The sequence below is a fragment of the Homo sapiens genome, chromosome 3 (genome assembly GCF_000001405.40).
Source record: "Homo sapiens chromosome 3, GRCh38.p14 Primary Assembly".
Classification (NCBI taxonomy): domain Eukaryota; kingdom Metazoa; phylum Chordata; class Mammalia; order Primates; family Hominidae; genus Homo; species Homo sapiens.
In genome coordinates this window covers 58112665-58139043 of record NC_000003.12, presented here as the reverse complement: position 1 = coordinate 58139043, position 26379 = coordinate 58112665, and the positions used below count along the sequence as shown (strand labels likewise).

Genomic DNA, 26379 nt, shown 5'->3' with positions numbered 1-26379 from the left:
AGACGAGGTATTTCCCCCTCATACATAAAGTGTGAATCTTTCCAAAACACAAGTGGAGGTACTTTGAGTCCTGGGATTTCAGAGTCAAGTCTCCAAACAAAACAGCATCAGGAAGCTCTCTCCTCCAGCCATGGAGAATGGCCATGAAGATGGAAGAAGGAAGAGCTGGCCGGTTAAAAACCTGTCATGTTTTATGTAGAAACATTTTCATAAAGGTGTGTTTTTCTGAGGAGTTATCTTTCAAAATGCCTGGGCTTAGGCCAGGATATTGCCCAAGTCCCTTATTATGATAGACACCTTGGTGGCCAGTAAGATTCCCTAAAAACCCTTACAGCCAAAGGGTCTCTGAGTTTCTAGAGATTACTCTGGGACTCTACAAGGTCATGACTGCTTAACAAATTTTTTTCCAAAGGAAAAAAAAGGTGAAGAGGATATCCTAGTCAGGGTTCAACAAACGGCAGCTGTTACAGTTTCCACCAATAACAGCATGCTCGGGAGAAGGAATTTTCCTTACCATGACAGTGAAGGGGCTGTTAGGAATATCAACACCACCGAAGCGCACATAGATCACATATGTGCCCGGCTTGGCAGCTGTGTAGAAGATGTCATAGGTTCCATCTTCATTCTCAATGACATCGGCCTCGGCCTCAGTGCCATCTGGGGTCAGAACCGTGCAGGTCACTTTACCCTTCCCGGCAGTCTTGGCATCAACCACAAAGCCTACTTCTTCGCCAGTTTTCACAGTGGAGGCGATTCCAGGACCTGGAGAAGAGTTCAGGGGAAGAGAATGGAAGTATGGACACACATCCTGGAGGCCCAAGAACAAATCATACCCATCCATGTTGTCTGTGCCTGTAAATGTTAGGCCTCCAACTGCTGCCATTCAGAGGGATATCCCAAAGATCCCCTGATCAGGTGTTGCTCAAAGGGTTACGTCATCAATTACTTACTAAATAAGGAGCATCTGTAAGCTCTGAGTGTTGACTAAAGGTTAGCCTGGGTTTGCCAGCATTTAAAGGTATGGCAATGAAGGTTGACTTTCAATAGCAAACATATTGGGCATTTTCTTAAGTGCCAGGTACACATAAAGGTGGGCAAGACACAGTCCCTGCTCTCAAGATGTTAACAGGGCCAGGCACCAAGAACGACATTTCCAACTGCAGTGGAAATGCTGAAGAGGAACTAAGTTACAGAAAAAATAACAAACTGTTCCTCAGAGAAGTGTCTGGCAGCATATCTAGGCAAAGGTTCTAAGAATTTATATCCCAGGGTTGCCGCACTGACAAAGGGCTTCCTAAAGAAAGGAAACATGGCTGAACCCTGAAGGATGGGTGCTGTTAGCTAAGGGAGACTTGCAACCTCTCCCCAGTGACCAGTCTCTCTCTTGATTTCTGGCGCCCCTTTACACAGGATCCACATATCAGGAAATGCAGAAAAGCATGAACTAAAAGCACATTGGTAGATATGAGCCAAGTGCGTAGGAGTAATAGGGAGGGTGGCAAGAACAGTTTGTTCAGGGAGGAGTGGAAGAGAAGACTGGAGTCAATCTGTGGAAGACCCTGAATGACAGACCCAGAGGTGTGGCCAAAAGGCAAGTATTCAGCTCAGGCTTCTGCCCAAGCTGGGGGAGGAAATAGGGCCTGCAAGGCAAGGGGGAAGTCCCCATCCAACGTTAACATGCCATCAATTAGTAAAGATGATCTGGTTGTCGCTGGCAGCTGCATAGACCTAGGAGGTGGTGGATTGGCCTGCATTCCAAAATTTTTCCATTTTTTGCCATGGGTGAGCCAAAAAGGGCCACGCTGAGCAATTCACAACCTTGCCGTGAAAGCCCAGATTTTCTCCATTCAAAAAAAGATGGGCTAAGAGAGAAACAGAACACATCAAGGGTGGTCCTGTGTTTAGTCTTCTTATTTAAAAAGAAGTAAATCTGTCTCATTTTAGAGATGGGGATTCGTGTTTTAAAATCTGCTTGAGCAGCAGCACTGAGCTGCCCAAGGGCTGTTCTTAAAAACTGAAAGGCCGGCCAGGCGTGGTGCTCACACCTGTAATCCCAGCACTTTGGGAGGCTGAGGAGGGCAGATCACTTGAGGCCAGGAGTTCGAGACCAGCCTGGCCAATTATGGTGAAACCCTGAATCCACTAAAAATACAAAACTTAGCCGGGCATGGTCGTGGGCACCTGTGGTCCCAGCTACTCAGGAGGCTGAGGCTGCAGTGAGCTGAGATTGCGTCACTGCACTCCAGCCTGGGCAACAGAGCAAGACTCCATCTCAAAAAAAAAAAAAAAAAAAAAAAGAATGGCCTGTGACAGTCAATAGTTGTGTCTTAGAAACTGAAGGAAAAAGGAGGGGAAAAAAAAAGAAAGAAACCAAAGAAACTGTGATGCTCAAATATTCATGGAGAATTCCTGAGAGGTTTACATATGCATGATGAAAAAAACCTAGATCCTTAAATGTGTTTCTCTAATGCTGACCTGAAATGCTCTTGAATGAATCCTGAGTAACTATCTACTCATAAAAGGCAGAAATGTGCTGCTTTTCATGGGAGCCGCCATCAGAGTTGGGTTCTCAACATTTCAAAAGCATATAATAATAGTTATCATGTACCTAGCACTGTGCTAAGCATTTTTCATGCCTGACCTCATCTAATCTTTGCAGTAACCCTGTAAAACAGTCTCTGTTCCTTAGAAGAGCTTCTTGGATCTAAATGTTCTCCAAATAAAAACAAAGAGCTTCAATCTATGTCAAACTGAAGTTCAGTGAGGTTGAGCAACGTGCCCAGATCATGTAGCTTGTAAGTCACAGAGAAGGGCTACGGCCCGGCTTTCTGATTGCAAAGCCTGTGCCCCTGACCTTGAGATGCCCTGTACTCACCCGTGGCCAGGCACTTGCTGGCATCACCCGTCTGTGTGGCTCGGATGCGATAAGGAGAAAGTGGGATGTCGTCACCCCCGTAGGTGACTCCAATCATATAGCGCCCAGTCTTGTCGGGGATGTAGGTGACAGCATACGTGCCATCTTTATTGTCATGGACAATGGCTCTTTTGGGTTTTCCTTCTTGGTCCTGTGGATCATAGAGAAATGCTATTTAGGATGTTGTCAAGATGTAGAAAACATTCATGGAAAACCCTGACATATTTTCCAATTAGTGCCTCTAGTGGAAACAGACAGAATTGATGGCTTAATACAATCTAGTTTTGTTTTGTTTTTTGGTAGGGAGAGTAGAGGGTCACAGATCCCTTTAACACCATGACAGACATGGCCAATTTTTAGTAATTTTGTTGTCAGGTGAACCAAGAGTGTTTTAGCTCGAAATCCTCTGAAATGTAGGGAGGGGAGGAGGCAGAGGCTTCTGCTCACACACCACCACATCCAGTCTCCCTTTTCTCTTTATTAACAGGACCATAACTCTTAGCTAGGTGCACCGCTCCCAGAAGATGGGAATCCACTTCCTAGCATCCTTGCCACTAGGTAATGTGAATTGTGACCAACCCCCAACAAATCAGAAGGGAATGGAAGTCTATGATGGACTTTTGGCAGGGCTGCTTAAGAGAGCCCACTGAGCTGGGAGGACCCCTTTTTCCCTTCTTTCTTCCTCCTTCTGGCCTGCCATGTGGATGTGATGGCCAGAGCACTGGCAGCCTTATGGTCCAGGAGGAGACCTTAAGGACAGAAGCCACATGCTAGGTAGAGGAGCAGAGAGATGGAGCTGACTTCCTTGGTGAGCTGCAGGGCACCCAGGTGGCTTAGCCTGGGGTTCCTTAACAAGAGAGAATAATCTCATTTATTTCAGCCACTCTTATTTTAAGGTTTACTGTGATATGCAGCATAACTTAGTCTTAAATGAACCAAAGAGTAATTTAAAACATTTAAAAATAAAAACATAGGGGACGGGCACAGTGTCTCATGTCTGCAATCCCAGCACTTTGGGAGGTTGAGGCAGGCAGACTGCTTGAACCCAAGAGAGTTCAAGACCAGATTGGGCAACATGGTGAAACCCCATCTTTAAAAAAAATAAAAATAAAAACATAGGAATAGATGTAGTAAAAAAACATGAAAATTCACCAAAAAGTGGTTCTTGGAGCTACACCCTCAAATCTCTCAGGTGAGCTGCTTCTGCTTCTGCACATTTACTGACTCTTTGGTGGGAAAATCTAACAAACAACTTGCATTGAGTCAGAAATCGGTTATTGAAACCCTTGTTCTTAAATCTGGCCCAGAAATTAAGTCTTAGGATTAAGGTTTGGCTCAGAAAATAACTCCAAGTTACCGTTATTTGAACAGCAAGCAGGCCTTCCCCGGCATCTCGGGCATCAATTGCAAAGTCCACAGGTAGACTGGCAGGCACACCATAGGAACTAAGGCCGGGGCCACTGGCAGTCACTTTGCTGGCATCATATGTGGGAAGGACCTTGACCTTGAAGGGACTTGATAGACACACACACACACACCCTAGTCAATAAAGATACATGTCAACCCAGCTGCATCTGACTTTTCTTACACATAAGAGTGGGATGGAAAAGGGGATTTCTACAGCAGATAAGACAGTGAGTTAGTCAAGGTGCCTAAGTCTAGCAGAAATTTACAACTATGAGGTAGTAACCATCATATGACAGACTGGTTTTGTCCTGAGTGTGTTCCAAGGCAGCGGTCCCCAACCTTTTTGGCACTAGGGACTGGTTTCGTAGAAGACCAGGGGGCCTGGTGGGGGAATGCTTTCAGGATAAAACTGTTCCACCTCAGATCATCAGGCACTAGTTAGATTCTCACAAGGAGTGTGCAATCTAGATCCTTCTCATGTGCAGTTCACAATAGGGTTCGCACTCCTATGAGAATCTAATGCAGCTGCTGATCTGACAGGAGGCAGGGCTCAGGCAGTAATGATGGCTCACCCACCACCGTGCGGCCCAATTCCTAACATGCCGTGCACCCACACCAGTCCACGCTCCAAGGGTTGGGGACCTCTGTTCCAAGGGATACAAGTAGTTTGGGGAGGAAGAGTTCACAAATTAGTTTGGGAAACACAGGGTTAAACACATTTACCCCACTTTTGTTATGCTAAGATCATGGTCACCAAATGGAAAGAGAATACTGGAACTTCAGTTTTAATATTTATATCTCATCTTATTCTATATTCTGTATCTATAATTATTCTATAGTATGCTTCATATGGTACATGGTATATTAGTAAAGCAATATACAAATGTAATTTATAAATTACATATTTCTACATAGAGCTAATATGCTTATCTCTATATAAAATATGTGTTAGGGGATATGGGTGAAAGTTTTTCATCTTAAGGGGCATGATTTTTTAAAAAAAGAAAAGAAAACCCTTAGAGATTGTTCCAAGAGGTGAAGAGCTTATGTAACATTTTTTTTTGTATTAATATCAACAAGGAACAAGGTTTCTATGTAAAACCTTTTGGAAATGCTTTTATCAAGCAAACCCTGAAGTAAAGACCTTTGTCCTGTCCCAATCAGAAAACTACTTGCAGGTTCACCAAAACACCAAAAGGAAGCCTCTAATAAACTAATAAATTATTTATTTCATCAATGATTGTCTACTACTATTGCTTTTTTTTTTTTTTTTTTTTTTTTTTTTCCAGAGATGTCAGGGGAGGGTCTATGTTGCCCAGGCTGGCCTCAAACTCTTGGGCTCAAGTGATCCTCTCATCTCAGTCTCCCAAGTAGCTGGGATTACAGGCGAATCCCACCACACGTGGTTAGGATTTCCAACTTCTTAATTTCAGCTCACCTTTAAACTAAAGATGTCTGAAAGGAACTGGGGGAGTGAGAGAGCGGGAGCCACAAATATCAAGGCTAGTGTGTGGTGACAAGTTGCAGGTTCTATGTAATACTTGCTGCCTCTATGAATGGGTAGACGGACTGATGGAGGAATGGATGGGTGGATGGATGGAATGATGAAAGAATGGATGGATGGATGGACTGATGGAGGAATGGATGGGTGGATGGATGGACTGATGGAGGAATGGATGAGTGGATGGATGGAATGATGGAGGAACGGATGGGTGGATGGACTGATGGAGGAATGGATGGGTGGACAGATAGACTGATGGAGGAATGGATGGGCAGATGGATGGAGCTTACCTGCGAGGAATCTCTTCATCAGCATATTTAACTGAGACCATGTAAGGTCCCTCCTGAGATGGGGTGTAGGTTACTGTGTGTGTGCCATCTCCATTGTCCACCACGTTCACTGGCTCCACCAAGCCTGAGGACAGAGATGAGAGGTTTAAGGAGCTGCCTGGCCTCACCTTTACTCCACCCTTGGCTGAGTCTGAAATAGGACCACATCCATCCCCAAGAGCTATTGGTTTCCACTGATGAGTAACAAAAAGGCCAGCAACCATAATCACAGGCCTGAAAAAAATCACAGGATCCCCAATTCATGGTTGCAGAAATGACCCCGAGAGACACCTTTAGCTTTTTGTTGGCTAAAATACACTCAGTCTGCCCTAGAGTATAATTAAGGAGACTGCCTGTGCTTGCTGCTGGAGGGTGTATGTGGATGATGTGTGTTGAAGACACAATATAACCTTTCAAGCTGGTTAGGCACGCTTAGGATGTGGCAATTTTACTCTACAGCTGAGACACTGCCAAAGAGTCCAGAATTGTGAAGAGCAAAAATTAACCAATGGGCTGGCTAGTCAAGACTTGTGGCCACCTTTGAGCAAAGAACACTGTGGTACCAGCATGCTGGGGCATAGGTGCAGGGCAGGTGAGGGTGCCAATCTCATGGGGCAAGGGGACCCTCAAGGTGAAGCCTGTGGAGATGTTAGAGATTATGCTAAAACATAATCAAGGCACGCGTTGGGTTGCAGAGTCCAGATCCCAGCTTCCAACGTGACAGTCAAGGATGGGTCAACTCCAGGGTAGGTTAATCAAAGGATGGCATGCTCATTAAGCAAAGCAGATGAGGCAGGTGTAAGCAATTTTAGAAGTGAGGCCAGCAAGAAGCATTTGGGTTACATAATTCAGCAGCCATGGGAAAATGCAAACCTGTCTTATTAAAGTCACCCTTCGGGTCACCTTTAAAGAACTCTGAAAGGGCTTTCAAGGGGCTGCGCCATGACTGGGAATCCGTGTCGTCAGCTAAAATCAAAAGGCTGTTACTTGAGAGTCCTTCATAATAGAGGCAGATATCCAAGTAAAGCTTCTCTTTCTTCTTTTTCTCCCTCTCTCATTCACACATACACAGGGACACATACATGCACACAAACACATGCAGGTCCTGAAGCTCAGTAACTTCACAGAATCTGATCCCAGACCCATGACCTAATTTCCCCCAAACCATTTCTGCCCTGAGCTTCAAAAGATAAAACCTCCTGCTGAACCCCATGAAGGAGAAGGTTCCTCTTCAAAGAGGGAAAACCCCATTTGCCACTTCTGTGAATCCAAGAACATATCATTGGCGAGGAAAATCCAGATTACGTAAGAAATTAGGCACACTGTCCTCTATGTGGGAGAAAGGCACATTTTAAGTGCTGGAGGAGGAAACATGGTCACTTATCAAAAAAGGCAAGTTCCAATGCACTTCAGGGCTTTGTCCCTATATGGCCCGCTAGCCTTACCAAACCCAAGTTCCAAGCTGCCAACAAGGCAGGCCAAATTGCCAACAAAGCCCATTCCCCAAGACACACTCTCTCTCTGGGGAACTAAGACAATGACAAAGCCACGTATCACGTGCATCATGTGCCTGGCATTCCCAGAGGTTCTGGTATGTACCACATGGACACCAAGATATCTCAATGAGTTATCACCTCCAAACCCCACCATCTGCCACATCCAGAGCAACCCACCCCCTCACAAATGCTGAAACACATAATGAAACAGTCGCCACCATATTACATATGACAGCCCAAATACTGCTGCTTCCTCTAAGAAATTGATAGCCATATTATTAAATGGGGGGACAGATCACTGGAGAAATAACAAGCCTGCTTACTTGTAAGCAGGAATTTCTACTGTTTAACTAGAAATGAAACAATAATTTTTTTTAATTTAATTTTAAGCTCATGAGCAAACTCAAAAGCAAAGCATCTGCTCTGGGTTACAGCTGCCCCTGCCTGGGGCAGATGAATGTCTGCAGGAAGGCAGGGTGCACACTTACCTCGTGGGCCCAGAACCCTCACTTCCAGCGGAGCCAGGCCAGCCTTGCTGCTGTCCACCGTGAAGGACTGCAGGACACGGGCTCGGACGCCTGAGCCCAGCCCGGGGCCGGCAATCTTGACCTTGCTGGGGTCCACAACATCCTTCACAGGAACCCTGAAGGGGCTGCCTGGAAGAGAGGTTGTGGGATTCTGAGCACAAGCTGGGAATTGGAGACCACCTTGTGCACACCCAGAATAGCACTGCTGCTCCCCCGGGACCTCGGCCATGCAGGCCTCGGTCAGCTCCCCCTGCCTCACTGTGTGCACTGCTCATGTGCCTACTCATTGTTGTCAACCATTCTCACAGAACACCTACTACGTGCAGATGTTGTGCCACGTGCTGGATCCTGAGCGGTTAACACCCCCCAGGAACCCACAACTGCAGGAGAAGGATGAGGCAAGCAAGTCACTCTAACATCCTACATAACATATTTGGGGTGTGGAAGGTGGAGCACTCAGGAGGCAATTAACCTGGTCTGCGGGAGACCAGAGAAAGCTTTCCAGTAACATCTCAGTTGCGGCACAAGAGGGAGCAGACAGAGAGGTGCTTCAAGTAGAGAGGCCTCAGCACATGCAGGAGCCTAGAGGCGAGGGAGGAGACAGGCTGCTGGAGCAACTGAAGGAGGAAGCCAAGTGGTGGAACAACAGAACGGAGAGAGATGGGCAGGCCCTGCAGCCCACATCCAGCCCTGTCCCCCACACATGGCTCCTGTGTGTCCCCCAGACTCCTCTCCCTCCAATGCAGCTGGCACCTTCTGACCACACTCAGCCTTCTCGGTCACTCGGCCACCTGGTGAAGCCTTGCCGTCTTCCTGAGTGTAAGCTGAGCTCCTGCTACATGGCTGACCCCCCGGGGGACCCTGAGGGCCTCTGACTCCTTGAGGGTGTCAGTTTTAAAGATGAAGCACAGAGGAGTCGAGGAGAGGAGATAGTGATTTGCTAGAGAAGTGCTAAACAGAGAAACAAGGGCTAGGCCAAGGACACTCATGGACTCCACTGTGGAGGGGGACCTCCCCATCCAGCGAACGGCAGCATGCCTCAGGCTACCACGCCCATCACCAAGGGGCTACGTGCACCTCTGCCTCGCATGGGAGTCCTGGTGCTCCCCATGGTATCTGGCAAAGTTAATGACTGCCGTGAAAGCTGAGGGATCTCTGCTTTGCATCCCAGAGAATTTATACTTTGTAGAATTAGAGATGGTAGACAGCCAAGACACACAAAGAATTGAGTCCCTGGCTTTCTAACAACAGCTGGGTTTCAACGGCATCCAGGTCTTTAGCTACGTGAAATAAATGGCTGGCCCTGGCAAACAAGCACAGGCCTCCACACTGGGGTGAGAGGAACAAAAGGGGGCTTTACTTTAGAGAGTGACAGTTGAGGATTTCAATGTCAACAGCTGATGGCAAGGGACTACCTCTGAGGCCAATCTTTAAGTCAGAGCCTCCACTAGAAGTTGTCTGAGCTCAGCATGAGAGTAGCCAAAAACCAACAAACCCGGGTAAGATAAACTGTCCAAGATGGCAGACCCCAAGCATTATCCGCCACTCCCCTGTTCCATGCCCAGACACATGTCACCATTCCCTCATGCCAGATCTTCTTCCTCATGCACTCTGAACCCCAGTCAATCCAGTGGTCTAGGGAGCCGCCACCAACCAACCACAGCTGGCCTACCACAGGAAATCAACATGCCATTACGGGTAAGACAGGACACGTTGTTAAAAATAACTCCACTCCGGGTTTTTAACCAGGCCAGGAAAAACTAGGCTAATATTTAAGCACCCAGAATTACCATGAAAGCAAATTAGAAGGTGGCAGGTAGCCGACTGTTTCCCGGCAGTACCCCCATAGGTTGCCTTAGCTAAGAAGCCTGATGCTTAGAAAACCAACCAACACTTCACTAAATATCTCTGCCTGGGAAAGTTCTGGGGTTCTGGAAAAGCCGGCATTTGGCTCTCTGGGAGGCAACAGAGAGCCTGAAACATAAAAAGGCACCATCCACACCTGATGGGAAAACCACAAATGAGTGTCTTTCTGTTGTTATGCTCAAAGACGACCATTTGCTTTAAGCTCACAGGTCGGCCACAGGGGACAAACTCTGACCCCTTTCTGTAAGGGGGATTCGGAAGCTGGTGGCACTCACCAGCCTTTCCCCATAGTCAAAAAGTTTCATTGCCACAGGAGATGTTCATCTCCACTGTTGCCTGCCAGGTCGGAGCCACATCACCCCTCCTGGGAGCAGCCTTCTACCCGTTTCCTGTGCCCAACTCTCTCCTAACGCAAGTGTTACAAAACTCCAAAACAAGCCCGTAGCTCTGAATTCTGTCACCGAGCCCCATTCTCATTCTTCATAGCAGTCATCACAAGTTTTAGTTGTAAAAGCCCTAGACAGTAAGCTCCCTGAGGGCAGGAACTTTGTCTTGCCCACAGCTGAAGTCCCCTAGACTAGTGATTATAGGAATTTTTTAAATCTATATTGAATGAGCCGCAAGCACAAGTTTGAGGAGAAACATGTTGTTTTAAATGACTTGAGGCTTAAATGAGTATCTGAGTAGAATCAGTCTGAGTTGAATGTCAATACTTTCTGATCAGTGTGAGAGAGAGTGAGTGTGAGTGTGTGTGCACATTTCCATGTGGTAAGGGGGAAGCAGGAATGGAATCAGGAAAGCGTGTGGTCAGTGGACACTCCAGCTGCCTGAGAGTTAACCCAGAACCCAGCAGTGGGCCCCTCAACCTGCCCTTCCCCTCTCAGCGTGACCCAGAGAAAGAAGAACAAGACCCCGCTGAGGCTCTTTCTGCTCCTGGGGTCCTGGGGTGGGGCTTTGCCCTCTTCACACCACACCTAAGACAAGGCATAAGTGGCCCAGAACAGCCCCAGCCCTCGGTCTTCTGTCCACACCACACACTTGCCTGCCCTTTTAGAAATGGGGGCGGGGGAGGTGGTCTCAGAATTCACCACTATAGAATTCATCCATGTAACCACAAACGACTTGTACCCCAAAGCTATTGAAATAAATAAATAAAATGTGTGGGGGTGACAATCATTTGAGTAGATAACTAGAACCTATGGAGAGTCCTCCCCCCAAAACAAATGGAGGAGGGTCTTTCACTACTTAAGTCATATATTTATTTATTGTTTGAATCTTTACAGCAGTGGTTCAGGCTGAAGTGATTTTGTCCCTTAAGACATCTGGCAAGATATGGAGACATTTTTGGTTGCCACAAATAAGAATGGGGAAGGAGAAGTCTGCTATGGGCATCTAGCAGGTACAGGGCAGGGATGCTGACAAAAGTCTACAATGAACAGGACAGCCCCACACCACAAAGAATCATCTAGCCCAAAGTGTCATAGTGCCGGAGTTGAGAAACCGTGTTTCACAGTGATTACACATGACATCACTAAATACAAAAGAAAGAATTTGAATCTGCATATCTTGATCAGCTACTAGTATTGTCAGTGAAAAAAAAGAAACCAAGACACATGAATAAGGAGCCAAGCACAAAATAAGGTAGAAATTTTCTTTCTTTTTCTTTTTTTTTTTTTTTGAGACAGGGTCTTCCTCTGTCACCCAAGCTGGAGCGCAGTGGCGCAATCTCAGCTCACTCAACCTCCCAGGCTCCCATCTCAGACATCGTCCCATCACAGCCCCCACCCCACATAGCTAGGATTACAGGCACGCACCATCACACTCAGCTAAGTTTTGTATTTCTTGTAAAGATGGGGATTCCCCATGTTGCCTGGGCTGGTCTCAAACTCCTGACCTGAAGCAATCTGCATGCCTTGGCCTCCCAAAGTTTGGGGATTACAGGTGTGAGCCACTGTGATTTTCAACTTTGTAAAGAACCAGCTTTCCCCTGAATCAAGAACTAGGTCCTCCAACACACGCACAACTGTTTCCAGTCAAAATTCTAAGCCGATGCTTTTTGCCATGTTACCGGTTCTACTGGGAGTTGAGATAATCTTGGAGATGTAGCCCTAAGAAAAACTCTCCTTTTGCAGCTATTACAAATATCAGATTGTTTTCCCCACTCAGAGAGATAACCAAAATCAAACCCATTTTCCTGCAAAATCAATTATTCTCTGGGGTCCTCTCTGAGGAATAGCTCACCGGGGATGTGGGCTCCTCCATATGTGATATTAACATCGTAATCCCCCGGTGCGAAAGGAATGTACTCAGCACTGCAGCTGCCATCCTTGTTGTCTCTGCAATTTATCTTCGACTCTGATGGTCCCTCAACAGTTATGCCAAGCCCACCAATTCCTGCGCCTCTGGAAAGAGTGGAAAAGAAAGTGAAATGTGCACCATTTATTTATGCTGGTCTGCTTATTGCCAAAATTCATGCAAATTCCCTTTATAAACTATTCCACGTAGCCACCCCAACTCAATTACTACACCTCTCACATAGGGAATTTCACATTAGTATAATGTAAGTAAAGACACTCTGACCCCTCATTTTCAATGCTTATGCTTCATTTATTTTTCTTTTTCCTGAGACAGAGTCTCACTCCATTGCCCAGGCTGGAGTGCAGTGGCGCGGTCTCGGCTCACTGCAACCTATGTCTCTTGGGTTCAAGCAATTCACATGCCTCAGCCTCCCAAGTAGTAGCTGGGATTACAGGCGTGTACTACCAAGCCCAGCTAATTTTTATATTTCTTGTAGGGATGGGGTTTTGCCATGTTGGCCAGGCTGGTCTCAAACTCCTGGCCTCAAGCAATTGTCCCGTCTCGGCCACCTGAAGTGCTGAGATTACAGGTGTGAGCCGCCACACCCAGCCTATTTTTCTTATCTAATTGCACTGGCTAGGACTGCAAGTACAACGCAGGCATATGCCTTGCAACCAACTTTAATAAAAATACTTACAAGGTTGGCTACAAATTTTTACATTATCAAGTTATAGAGCTTGATTGACTCCTGGTTTGCTAAATAGTTTCATGACCATTATCAAGTGCTTTGGTATGTTTTTTAGGTATGCTTGGTCTTTCTATGTAACATAAGTCTCTACAGAAGGAAATACATGTTATAAAAATAAAAATTCATCTTATCAAAAGTTAGGAAACCATGACACATAGGTAGAATCTAGCCACAAAAGTGAGACTCAAGACACCAAATGTAGGGCCTTGCCTACCTGGTAACCACGGTGAAGACATTGGGCTTGTTGGTAAAGGCCTCTTTCAATCCAGGTCCTTGGGCTTGCACCCTAGATGGCTGGCAGCCTTCAGTGACAGCCACCTTGAAGGGACTGTTTGGGATAGGCACGTCATCATATGTCACCTCCACTACATGGAGACCTGCTCAAAACAACAAACAGAAACGCATATTTGCATACAAATCCCCTATTTGTGAAAAATGATTCTCTACTTCAGAGTTTCATCTAGCATCGAAGTCTGCATGCTATACTATGTTATTTGGAAAAGGGGGTTAAAAACACAGTAATGTGGCTGGGGGCAGTGGCTTACACCTATAATCCCAGCACTTTGGGAGGCCGAGGTGGGTAGATCACTTGAGTCCAGGAGTTCAAGACCAGCCTGGGCAACATGGCGAGACCCCATCTCTACAAAAAATACAAAAATTAGCTGAGTGTGGTGGTGCACACCTGCAGTTCCAGCTACTCAGGGGGCTGAGGCAGGAGGATCATTTGAGCCCAGGAGGTTGAGCCTGCAGTGAGCCGTGATCACACCACTGCACTCCAGCCTGGGCAACAGAGTGACATCCTGTTTCAAAACAAAACAAAACAATCCCACAGTAATGTAGGTATGATCTGACTTTTAAATAATACAAACCGTCTATCTGCAGTCACATAAGCCACTCCACCCCAACCAAGCAAATATTCAAGTCAGTCATCCTAAACAGACTACTCTCATTCGGGAAAACACCATCCAGCCATTAACCAAAAGAAAAAGCGAAACCCGTGAAACAGAAGAAACAGGCATCCACAAGAAGACTGAAAATATCTATATCAGAATATCGCAGGCTTCCGATCTCCAGGTAGTGGAGATATACATGGCACTTTTTTTTCTTTATGGTTTTCTATTTATTGAAATTTTTTATAATTCCTAATACTCAAGAAGAAAGAAATTCATACGCAAAGAAAAATGGCACAAATGAGCAACATCATGACATTACCCCATAACTTGCTGAGGTGAGACTGAGGCTAAACCCAGCCCACCTATTACACAAGGCCAGCAAGCCAGGCACTGAGTGGGCAGGTGACTGCAGCGGACGCTGACTTCCACTCTGTCACTCTGCACGTGGCCCTGCTGAGACAGGCCTAGCACATGGGGCAGGCATCAGTACCAGCCACCAGGAGGCAATGACCAAGGGCAGCTCTGAACGAGGGTCCAGTCCGAGGACAGGGCGGCTCACCTTTCTCAAAGGGTGTGTATTCCACCTGGTAGGTCCCATCCGCATTGTCTGTGACAAAGCACTCGGTGGAGGCCCCTGAGGGGTTGGCAATGTGGGCCTTGATGTGGTCACCCCCAACCTGGGTCAGCGGCCGAGAGTCAACTGTAAAGTCGGTGGTAGCTTCCCGGAACACATCTGCAGAGCAAGCACATAGCTAACACTGCCACCAGTACCCCAGACCCAAAAGCAAACCCCAGAACCAAGGTTCTTGGCACTTCAGGACACATGAAGTCCAATTTCAGTAACTGGAAAACTGGTTTTTCTAACTCTCAAATCAAGAATATTAACCCCCTCCATCCCAAAGAAGGCCTTTCTAGAGTAGCCACGGCTAAGTGACAACACGACTGCTCACACCGGGCTCGAGGACAGGTTAAAGGTTGAAGACTAACCTGCTGTGTGGCATGCAGGTGTTAGACAACACTACATTTTAAACTTTTTTCCAATTAAATGCCAACATGTTGTATGTTGAGTTTCCAGAGAAAAATCAAGATTTCTGCCTTTGCCAAAAAACTAGAGATTCTGCTGACAATGCTAGGTCCTGTTCCCCATGGAGAAACAGAAAACAGGGGTTGAGTAGCACGGTCCCCAGAAATGCAATGTGCTTAACCTTCACCAGGGCCCCCCAACTACTCCCCGAGGCAGAGGGAACAGGTGAGCACCGCCTTATATGTCACCTGGCTCCTGCAGGTGGCTGAGTTTGCAGCTCCAAGTTTCAGGTAGCCCTTAAGTCCCAGCTTGTCTTTTTTTTTTTTTTTTTTTTTTTAAATGAAACCCACCTTTCCCTTCTATTCCTGGTCCAAAGACTTTGATCCTGCTGGTGTCCACGGCGGGCTCCACCTTGACCCGGGCGGGGAAGTGTGGCACGAGTTCGCCACCATACTTCATGGTCAACGTGTACATGCCGGCCGTCAGGGGCACGTAGGTCACCGCGTAGGTGCCATCTTTGTTGTTCTGAATACTGACTTCGGCTTTTGTTCCCGAGTCCGAGACAGCTTCCAGGCCCAGGGCCCCCGGTCCCGCTTCCGAGCAGTCGACGCTAAGGAGGCCAGCTTCACCCACCTTCCCGTGCTCGAGACCTGGCCCCGATGCCACGACTTTAGAGGGGTCAAAGGGCATTTCAATGTCAGCTTTGAAGGGAGACCCAGGTATGTGGACTTCTTCAAAGAGGATGTTGACGAAGTACTCCCCGGGTTTTGTGGGAAGGTAAGAGACGGAGCAGGTCCCATCACCATTGTCGGAGCACTCGATTTTGGCCTCGCACGGACCTTCCACCGTTAAGCCCAGACCTCCAGTACCAGCTCCTTTGGTATCGATGGTGAACTCGGCAGGCTTGCCCACGAGACCACCTTCGAGGCCGGGACCGTGGGCCTTCACCTATTTGAGCAAAGAATAAAGTCAAACTGCACTGGGATCGCTGCTCAGCCAGCACTGCTTTCAACACCCATGCATATAATCAGCATGGAAGTGCATCTGAGCCAGGCAGCCCTTCTCTTGGGGCTTTATGTGTCACACGTGCACACGAGTTAAAGCTACAACAGTCAATGCAGCAAATGCCTCAGAACTCAATCACCAGCGAAAACCCACAGGAGAGAGGTGTGACCCCCATGGAGCAGCCCCTCCAAGACTCTCCTCTCTCCTACCCAACCTGACCCTTCTAAATCACAGGCCTGGACTTGGAAACCTAATGTCCATTCCAACAAAGATACACGAGATCCCAGGTTGAGGGCTCATGGAAGGGCTCTTGTGGAGCTAGCTGTGGCTTGGGCTGTTGCAATTTGCTCAACAAATTCTGCATAATAATAAAACTAAACTGTTTCTAAAAAAGAGTGAGGAAGGAGGCTTTCACCTCTAATTCAACAAATAAGACACCTTCATAGGATTCACACCATTGAGACCACTGGAAATCTTCCAAAACCCCTTGAGTCAGGGTTACTATGAAGAAATGACGATGAACTTTTTTTTTTTTTTTTGGAGGGGACGGAATCTCACTCTGTTGCCCAGGCTGGAGTGCAGTGGCACAATCTCAGCTCACTGCAACCTCTGCCTCCCAGGTTCAAGCGATTATCCCACCTCAGCCTCCCGAGTAGCTGGGATTACAGGCATGCGTCACCACACCCAGCTAATCTTTGTATTTTTAGTAGAGATGGGGTTTCACCATGTTGGCCAGGTTGGTCTCAAACTCCTGACCTCAAGTTATCCATCCACCTTGGCCTCCCAAAGTGCAGTGATTACAGGCGTGAGCCGCTGCGCCCAGCCAAGAATAATGTTTTTTTTTGTGGTTTTTTTTTTTTTTTTTTTGAGACGGAGTCTTGCTCTGTCGCCCAGGCTGGAGTGCAGTGGTGTGATCTCAGCTCACTGCAAGCTCCGCCTCCCAGGTTCACACCATTCTCCTGCCTCAGCCTCCCGAGTAGCTGGGACTACAGGTGCCCGCCACCATGCCCAGCTAATTTTTTGTATTTTTAGTGGAGACGGGGTTTCACCGTGGTAGCCAGGATGGTCTTGATCTCCTGACCTCATGATCCGCCCGCCTCGGCCTCCCAAAGTGCTGGGATTACAGGCATGAGCCACCGCGCCTGGCCAGAATAATGTATTTTTATATTACATGATTCTAGCTTCTGGAGGGTGAGCTCCGTCTGTGAGCTGGGTGCTGGGCAGAGGCCTCCACGTTTGCTAACTCACCTACCCCTTACAGGCTGGCTTTGTAGTGAGGACTGTGATTATGCTAACAAGCGAAGAAAGAAGACTCTGGGACAGGGAGCCCCTCACCAAAGTCTTGTAGTCAGAGAGCAAGAGGAGGAGCAGGGTTGTGACCCACCTACCCAGGGGACCTTTCACAGTGAATTGTGCTAACTTTCATCACAAAACGATTTTCAGAAGGTCTTTGCCAGGAAGAACCAGAGAAGGACTATGGTGTCATGTTTGACAGCAATGAGACAAGTTCTGGGACAAAAGCAAAGGCTGACCTTGCTGGGATCTGGTGGCAGCGAGGCCTCCACTGTGTAGGGGCTCCCGGGCACAGGGTGTCCATCGTAGGTCACGTCTACAGCATACAGCCCCTCCTCCCGAGGGATGAACTTGGCCGTGCTGTTCTCCCGGCCTGTCACAGGTGTCACTAGGCATGGCACGACCTTCCGAGAGGGGCTGAGGATTGTCACGTCCAGCTTCCCCTGGCCTCCTGCCCCCCTGGTATCAACGGTGAACTCCTGATCCTTCCCAACTTCCACCCCTGGAAAAGAAACACAAGCTGAGGTGAAGAGCTGACCCTTTTCAGCAGCAGGAACAATCCAGAGCACAGAAGCAATGGTTCTTTGGACACGGGGACTTATCTCAGCCTCCACTGTAAGCAACAGCTGCTGCAGAGGACAAGCAGCAAAGCTGAGTAAGTATCATCAGCATCTCAGCCTCAGTAACAACAAGTGTCGGCACAATAATCAATTAGTGATGACAGCAATAACGGCTATCATTTACTGAATGCATTTTATATGCCAAGCACAAATAGGTTATTGTCTTAATTTTCACCACAATCCTATGGGGTATTTATTATTAACCAATGGCTTTCACAGATGGGGAAACTGATGCTCAGAGAGGTTAAGTAACTTGTCCAGGGTGACATATGCAGCAGCCTGCCAAGCTGGGACTCAAAGTGAAATTTACCTGACCCCACAATCTTTGCTGACCAGAAAGTTGTAATCTGACACTGTCGTCTCTTATTTACTTACTTTTGGTGTTAACTTGATATCCAAACACCCTCATAAGTCAATGTTTTATTTACTAATTCTTGGCAGCCAACTCCATCTTATAGGCACCCCTCCCCCTCAAGAAAGCAGAAGTCACAGAGCTGCCAAATGCGAGCCGATTGAAGCAAGTGCTGAGAACTGACTGTACCGTGATGGTTTCCAAAAGGTCTCTGCAAAGCAGGGCTGCAGGAAGCCCAAGTGTTAGATTAGACAAGAACAGGGAAAGGACTTTACCCAAAACAAAAGCACTGGGAACACAGGGCCCCTGCCACAACCCAGAGAACCTTGACTCTGAAGGAACATAGGGCCTGGCAAGATGGACACTGCCGAACCACAGGCAAGGAGGTCCCGGATCGCTACTTCCCACCGGAAAAGAGGCTTTCCTAATTGGCACCCTGCTTTTCCTGTTCTGGAGTCAAAGCTCTCAGTGTCTTGGGGAAAGGAGTGACAAGGGGACACATGACAGGGTTGGGCAGTGGACGTTTACACACTCAGAGCTGGCTGCTCCAGCCACAAAAGCCAACAGTGAGCTCTCACTTTGGATCTCTGCAACTGGGAGCTGGCCTTGCTTGCAACTTGTGCACTTGGGTCACGAGTGAAGGAAGATGCTCACTAATGGCACTGCTAGTGGTACTCTGGAGAAACCCTCACAGGTGAATACAGGAGGCCCCGTCCTGGGGGTATGCACTCAGCCCTGCCTCAGTAAGCCTGAAACCAGGTGAATGTGAGCCCTGAGGTACATCCAGTCTGGAGCCACTCAGCAGTAAACACAGACGGAAAAGATGTAGGAGTGAATGATTCCCGAGATGCACTGTTGGAAGGCAGGCCGAAGAAGTAGGTTTATACAGCAGGGCAACTTTAATGCAAAATAAATACAGCCAAATGTGTTCCACAGGCACATCTATATGTATAGATGCAGAGAGAAGATCTGGAAGAACAGAAACTGAATTGAAAACTTTGGTTAACCCTAGGGAGAAGGAGAGGTGAGGGTTAAAGTGGAATTATCCCTTAACTGTAATGTTTTTTAGATGAAAAATGGATATATTTTTACTTGTATAAAAAAATCATTTTATGAGCATGTGTTGCACATCTGAAGCTGAGTGATAAGTACATCAGTGTTCATGTTATACTATTCTCTTTCCTTTTCTGTTTGAAATTTTCCCTACTAAAAAATAATCAGAAAATTGAAAATAAGCGAAATGAGCTTATACTAGTAAAATCCCTAACAAGCTAAAGGAACATTGGGATGGGGCAGAGGTGTGGTGGTAGTGACTTCTGAGTGCCAGGGATTTGGCATTTATGCTTGACTCGCAACCTTAGTGCGGATTCAGTTGCCAAGGATAGCTGGCACAGTTAGAAACTCATCAGAAAGCAACATAGCCCAAATTCTCTTTTTAATGAAAACTTCCTACTGCAATGCCAGGGGGCTGACTACGTGCCAGCCTCTGAACCATTAGCTCATATAATTTTCAAAATATTCCCATGGGTGTTCTCAACCTCTCCCCGCCGACCACCCCCCACTGTACAAATGAGAAAGCTGAGTCTCGGTGTGGCTAAGGGGCAGACACAGTCACAGTTACTTCACACCACGGCCTTAATTCGAACCAAAGTCTGTGCAACTGCAAAGTCTCTTAACATAGAATTTGCTTCTCTGCAAATTTCACCTTTTGAAGAAAATCTAACCAGCAGCCACGTTGGGGGGTCATCAACAACCCATCTGCTCTCCATTCAGGCACTTACTGTTTTCCAGCCCATTGAGTTTTATCTTGCTCAGATCCAGCGGTGCAGCAACACCCACAGTGAAAGGGCTTTTAGGGATGGGATCGCCACCGTAAGTCACCAGAACCTGCATGTTGCCCTGGAACAAGAGAGAAAACTCAGTTTACCTTTGGGTACCAAAAAGCTAACTTGGCATTTAAAATCCCCTCAAGATCCCTCATTCTTCTCACGGACAGGGGAGACTTGATTCCAATCAATGTAGAAAGTATCTTAGATCTATTTCTTCTAGCTTTTGACCACAAGGCAAGAATAACAGAAAAATTAGATCAAATAAGAGCAGCTAATAATAACAGAAGCAACTTAATGAGCATTTTCTACACACCAAGCACCATGCTATGTGCTTTTATGCATTTCCTCAATTCAAGATCAAAACAGTCCTAAGGGGTAGTTCCTACTGTCATCTCATTTTTTCAGGAGAGGAAACTGTGGCTCAGACTGGTAAAGGAACGTGCCCCAAGTCACACACCTTGGTAAGGGTGCGAGCTGGGCCTCATACCCATGGCCCCCAAATCTGTGTCCTAGCTGCTCTGCCACACCACCTCCCCATCATCATACCCAGTGCCAGCCAGTGCAGCTGGGCCTGGGGCCACTCACCAAACAGAACCATTTCTGTCCTAGGAATCAGTTTGAGGCCCCCAGGCTGCAACAGGGATTTGCAAGAGTTCACCTAGACCTGTGCTAAGACCATCGCACAATATCTGAACTTCCATTTCCATGTGAAAGAAAATAAAATTGCAAGTGTGAAGGCAGATGGTGCTTGCAGGATTGGCAGGCACCCTCACGGGTGGCCGGGTGGCACGCGATAGCCATGTGTGCGCCATTTCTCTCCTCTCGCCGGTTCCAGGCTGGCACACAGCCGGCTTCTTCTCTCCATGGTTGGCCAAGTTCCCTCCCTCCAAATCGAGGCTCCAAGAAATCTCATGGCTGTCTCAGTAGATCAAGATCCCCTTCACCACAATCGGCCAGGCATAATGTAACAGGAAAGTGTGAGGGAGAGACGAGTTCCCCCCAAGAATCCAGCAGCCTTGCTGGAATGCAGGCCCTGCTGAAAGCTGTTGCTGATCAAGTGTTAAAAGGGTGTAGCATTTGGCCTATGTATATTTTGTCACATTCCTTTTGTAATAAGGAAGGGGGTAAAGGCCAAGAAAAAAAAAAAAAAACTGGTTGCATCAATGAAGAGAGGATTAATTTTCCAGCATTTTTAAGCACTGCACACAAAACCAATTGGCCCCCTGCCTCATGTGAACAACATTTCCTGGTAAAATGTGTACAGGTCAAATTCAACAGAGCTGGGAGCCAGCCAAGGGGCAGGAAAGGTCTCCTTTTTGTACTGTTTAAGGCAGGACTGACTCGCTACTTCAGCCAACGTGGCATTCCCAACGTGCCAACTCTTCCCGAGCTTCCGTTTCCCCACAGCCCCTAACAATTCAGGGGCTCACTAAGCAGACCTCAGGCTAACCAGAGGTCTTGGGGATACCTCCTCCCTCACCCGCATAAAGTTTTCTGGCCTCTTCTCTGAAGTGCTAAAAAAGAGAGGGAAAAACCCTCTTCCAGTTAAGCCCACCCATCCCATAAAAGAAAGTATGCTCTTGTTACCAGTCAAAAACAAAACAAAAACTCAGATAGAAAATGAACTGTACCTTAAATAACCTAAGAAGGGGGAGGGAAAAAATCTCGGAGATTTACACCTACAATGCCTACAGCATTTTAAAGTGTCCCCTGAGGCCCCAACTAAGGAATGGACTGTGTTTATTCCCCAACAGGGCTATGAAGTGAGGGATGTCTGGGTAGTGATGGCCAGTGCATTTCGCCACGACTTCGCAGGCTGCAAGACAGTTTCACTCTCCTCTACATGCTTCTGAAACCTGAATCTTATTCTTCAAAATATACATACACAAGACACTGACCAGACAGCTCAGAAGAGGATGGGACTGAGAGAGCCACCCTCAGCACCATCCCTTTTAGGGCCCTCCAGGAGCAGCCAGGACCACCACGTTAAGAACATTTCAAGGTAGAAGCTGTTACTCTGTGAGGGTCTGTGAGCTCACAGGGATTTCTAAAGGTGCCAGAGTACTACATGGAGTGGTCCCCAATCCTAGTGGCTCCCAGCACAGCACGTAATGGAGACATTGCCACCAGCTTCTCAAACTGCTCTGCGCAGGGGAACGTGCGGTGAGAAATTTAAGCTGCTTGAAGCCACCCACAACCAAGAGAAGAGAAGACCAAAGTCCTCAGGGAAATCACTTCCCTTCTATAAAACCGAGTCTTTGACCTCTGGGAGGGTCCTCAAGCCCCAAGCCAACAAGTCCATTCCTCTAAGGCAAAACGCGCTCTACTTTTGCATCCTCAAGGGACTCACAGGATCCTACAGCCATCCACATCACTCATCCACCCCAGGCAGGCAAGCACCTGCAAGCTGTCACTCAGGGACTTTGCGAGGTGGAGTGGCAGGCCTGCAGGTGTCAGGGAGCAAAACCAGCAATCAGGGACCTGGGTTACTCAGGCAGGACCTCGGCTCCCCACGTGGCACAGCCTGTGTTCTGAGGGGGAAGCGCCCACACCAGGCCAGGACACACCCATGCCCAAGCAGCCACCTTTCTGGGGATTTCCAGCCTGTTATACCCTAAAACTACCATGAGAAGGTGTGCCTGTGGGTGTCAGCCCTCAAAGTATGCTCCCTCCCCCGTGTCAGGGGGTGGCTTTCTGGGCTGACCCAGGTCTCTTAACCACATCCAAGGGCACACTTCCTTAGCCCAGTCTTGAGCTTTTAGCTGCTCTTCAGAAAACAGAGTTCAAAGGAGAATGAGGAGGTGTTGGCATCACTCCTCTACCAGATTACAACGTTCTTAGGCCATCTCCGCTTGTGAATCCAGGCGCCATGTCATTTATTCGCTCACTCACAGCCATTAATCCACACAGAGCACTTATAGGGCCAGGCTCTGTGCTGGGGGTGGGGGTGGGAAGGAAATTCAATCTAAGGAGAGATTTAATGTGTTCTTTGCCATAGAAAAATAGGCAGAATTGCAAGTTGCCCAAATAATGAAACAATAAACCCAGCTCCAAGCAACAAACAACAAGAAGGACCCCAGTGCCACCCTGCAAGTCATTCACACTTGTGATTTACCTGAGGACTTTGGTCTTCTCTTCTCTTGGTTGTGGGGTTGTGGGTGGCTTCAAGCAGCTTGGATGTTGCCACTTGGTGGCAACGACCGCCACCAAGGCCCACCCGGCTCCTTGAATGCATCCTGGGAGCATCCGGACACAAAGCCCTAAGTGAGTACTCAGCATGGCAGCAGTTCTCAAACCTGCTGCTATCAGAGAACTGGATGAATGTGACCTTGGGGTGACTCTGAAGTAAGGAGCCTCCCACTCCAGCATTACTTCAAAGGGGACAAAACCGGACCTAGGCTCCTAATCTCCACTTCTGCCTCAACCAGCAGCAGGGGACGTCTGGGGTACTGGGTTCTGCAGTCCTTTCCAAGGATGCAGGTCAAACCCTGACCCTGTCCTGATATCTGCAACTTACTTTCTAACGGCTCAGCCAAAACACTAAAAGGCATATAGACATAGAATAAAGCAGAAGTCACAAAATGTTTTTAGAAGACGTCATGGCCTTGTGATCCCAGTCATTGTACGCAGACAGCTATGGCTTTCTGGTGCTTTCTCCTAAAGAATATGGAGAATTTGGCAACAAAGAAGATTCAGCGTGGTGCACCCAGTAGTAAGGCTCCCACCAACCCTCAGAACCATCAGCAGGAAAATAATTACCTACTTACTATTGAGTGGCCTGATGAGAAAAGAATGCTCTATCTATAAAAGTGTTAGTTTTATCATTACTAATAATGAATGTTTTGTTTTGGATTTTTTATTTTAAAGCACAGGAAGAGCAAGTCTGGAGATAAGAAGCCGCGTTTATAACCTGCACACGAGAACTGTTAACGGCGTGAAAAGGCAAACCAAGGAGTGAGAGAATATATTTGCAAATCATTTATCTGATAAGGAACTAATATCCAGAATACATGGAGAATTCCTAAAACTCAACATAAAATTAAGAAGGTTGATATAAAAATGGGCAAGTAGATAATTCTCCAAAGAAAATATGCAAAGGACCAATAAGCACATGAAAAGATGATCAGCATCACTAATCATTAGGAAAATGCAAATCAAAACCACAATAAGACACCATCTTACACTCAACAGGATGGTCACTATCAACAACAACAACAACAACAAAAAAAAAAAACAGAAAAAAAACAAATGTTAGCAAGGATGTGGAGAAACCAGGACCCTTGCATGCTGTTGGCAGGACTGTAAAGTAGTGCAGCCACTGTGGAATACAGTATAGTAGTTTCTCAAAAAATTAAAAAGAGATTTCCATATGATCCAGCAATTCCATTTCGGGTTTATAATCACAAGAATTAAATGCAGAGACTCAAAGAGATATTTGTACACCCAGCATTATTCACAACAGACAAAAGACGGAAGCAACCCAAATGTTCTTCAACAAATGAAGATGGCCGGGCGCGGTGGCTCATGCCTATAATCCCAGCACTTTCGGAGGCTGAGGTGGGCAGATCACCTGAGATCAGGAATTCAAGACCGGCCTGGCCAACATGGTGAAACCCCATGGTGAAACCTTGGCCAACATGGTGAAACATCTATACTAAAAATACAAAAATTAGCTGGGCATGGTGGCACGTGCCTGTACTTCCAGCTACTCGGTAGGCTGAGGCAGGACAATCACTTGAACCCAGGAGACAGAGGTTGCAGTGAGCCGAGACAGTGCCACTCCAGCTTGAGGAACAGAGCGAGTCTCAAGAAAAAACAAACAAAAAACAGACGAAGAGAGAAGCAAAACATATATACATACAGTGGAATGCAGCCTCGAAAAGGAATGAAGTTCTGACACGTGCTACAACATGGAGGACATATAGGAAGAAAAATAAATCAGTCACAAAAAGACAAATACTGAGGTCAGGCGCAGTGGCTCATGCCTGTAATATCCGCAGGTTTGGAGGCTGAGGTGAAAGGATTGCCTCAGCCCAGGAGTTGGAGACCAGCCTGGCCAACATGGCGAAACCCCGTCTCTACCAAAAATACAAAAATTAGCCAGGTGTGGTGGCATGTGCCTGTAATCCCACCTGCTCGGGAGGCTGAGGCAGGAGAATCGCTTGAACCTGGGAGGCAGAGGTTGCAGTGAGCTGAGATCATGCCACTGCACTCCAGCTTGGGCAACAGAGCAAGACTTTTGTCTAAAAAATAAATAAATAAAAATAAAAATTTGGGGAAGAAAGCACAAACAGCAGCAAGCCTGGATGTAAGGGGCCACATTTATAACACGACACACAGAATCCCTTCGCCCAGGGAATCCCTCCCACTGCAGGGATGTTCTCACAGTAAGGATTCCATCTCCAAGGGAGTGCAGCCCCCAAACTCAGGGGACAGTTACACCATGACCCCTTCCTCACTATAATCCTCTTTCTTCCCCACTTGACTCTTGACTGCTCCTCGCTGAGAGGACCCAGACGGGAGCAAGGCTTCTGAGCAGTGCTTCTGCAGAAAGCGTTGCCCTTCTTCTCCTACAAATGGCATTTCAAACACAGCAGGATCATTTCCCTTAAGAATAAAGGAATCTCAGAGGCTTGGAACAACCACTTCGAACACTAGGCTTAAGTATTAAAATCCAGACTTTTCTGCCAGGATGTCTGCTCTCCAGACCCCAGAGGTGTGAACATGAAGCGAAACAAAATTTTAAACAAATATAATGGATACAGGGCTTCAGTTTTACAAGATGTAAAGAATTATGGAGATGGATGGTGGTGATGGGTGCACGACATAATGAATGCACTTAACACTAATGAACTATACACTTAAAAATGGTTAAGACGGTAAATTTTGTGTTATGTGTATTTTACCACGATACAAATTTTTTTTAATGTTTTTAAACAAATAAACATTAACTTGTACAGAGAGGCAGTTTTAAGGCCCTTATGGCCTGAAATAATCAGAGTAAGCCAGCCTAGATGGTAAGATCACATGTGAAATCCTGCATTTTGTAAAGGGGAATAATTTGCTGCCCTAAATAGTGTGCTGGGCCTTAGGGACGAAAGGCTGAACTGGCTCTTTGAGAAAAGACCTCATTCCAACACCTCATAAAAAGGGTAAACTAAGCTAAAAGGACCAGGAAGGAAACACAAAGGTGTAGCAGCTCTTTTTCTGTGGGTAATTAATGAAAAGACTAAAAGGCAGCTGGTGAGGCCGCGAGGGAATGCACGTGTGTGTGTGT

The 26379-nt window shown here is 47.0% G+C and overlaps 1 protein-coding gene across 4 annotated transcripts in view, besides 1 other annotated feature; it reads right to left on the bottom strand.

The window, feature by feature from the left end:
- The window catches only part of FLNB (filamin B), a 163830-nt gene that overhangs the window by 33208 nt on the left and 104243 nt on the right, over positions 1-26379 (bottom strand). For 3 of the 4 annotated variants that reach the window (NM_001457.4, NM_001164318.2, NM_001164319.2), the window contains exons 19-29: positions 20055-20172; positions 17541-17803; positions 15354-15951; positions 14539-14712; positions 13301-13463; positions 12282-12442; positions 8136-8303; positions 6113-6236; positions 4272-4428; positions 2876-3065; positions 515-762 (exon numbers count right to left, since the gene is read on the bottom strand). In NM_001457.4, the coding sequence (NP_001448.2) occupies positions 515-762; positions 2876-3065; positions 4272-4428; positions 6113-6236; positions 8136-8303; positions 12282-12442; positions 13301-13463; positions 14539-14712; positions 15354-15951; positions 17541-17803; positions 20055-20172 (2364 nt within the window). Of the gene's footprint in view, positions 1-514; positions 763-2875; positions 3066-4271; positions 4429-6112; positions 6237-7024; positions 7118-8135; positions 8304-12281; positions 12443-13300; positions 13464-14538; positions 14713-15353; positions 15952-17540; positions 17804-20054; positions 20173-26379 lie in introns of all 4 variants that reach the window. The other variant, NM_001164317.2, reaches the window with a different exon arrangement.
- Positions 22552-22701: a silencer, noted in NCBI's record as "silent region_14485". NCBI's record gives its function as "represses an Ori minimal core promoter by ATAC-STARR-seq in GM12878 lymphoblastoid cells {active_cell/tissue: GM12878}" and the evidence as "EXISTENCE:reporter gene assay evidence [ECO:0000049][PMID:35858748]".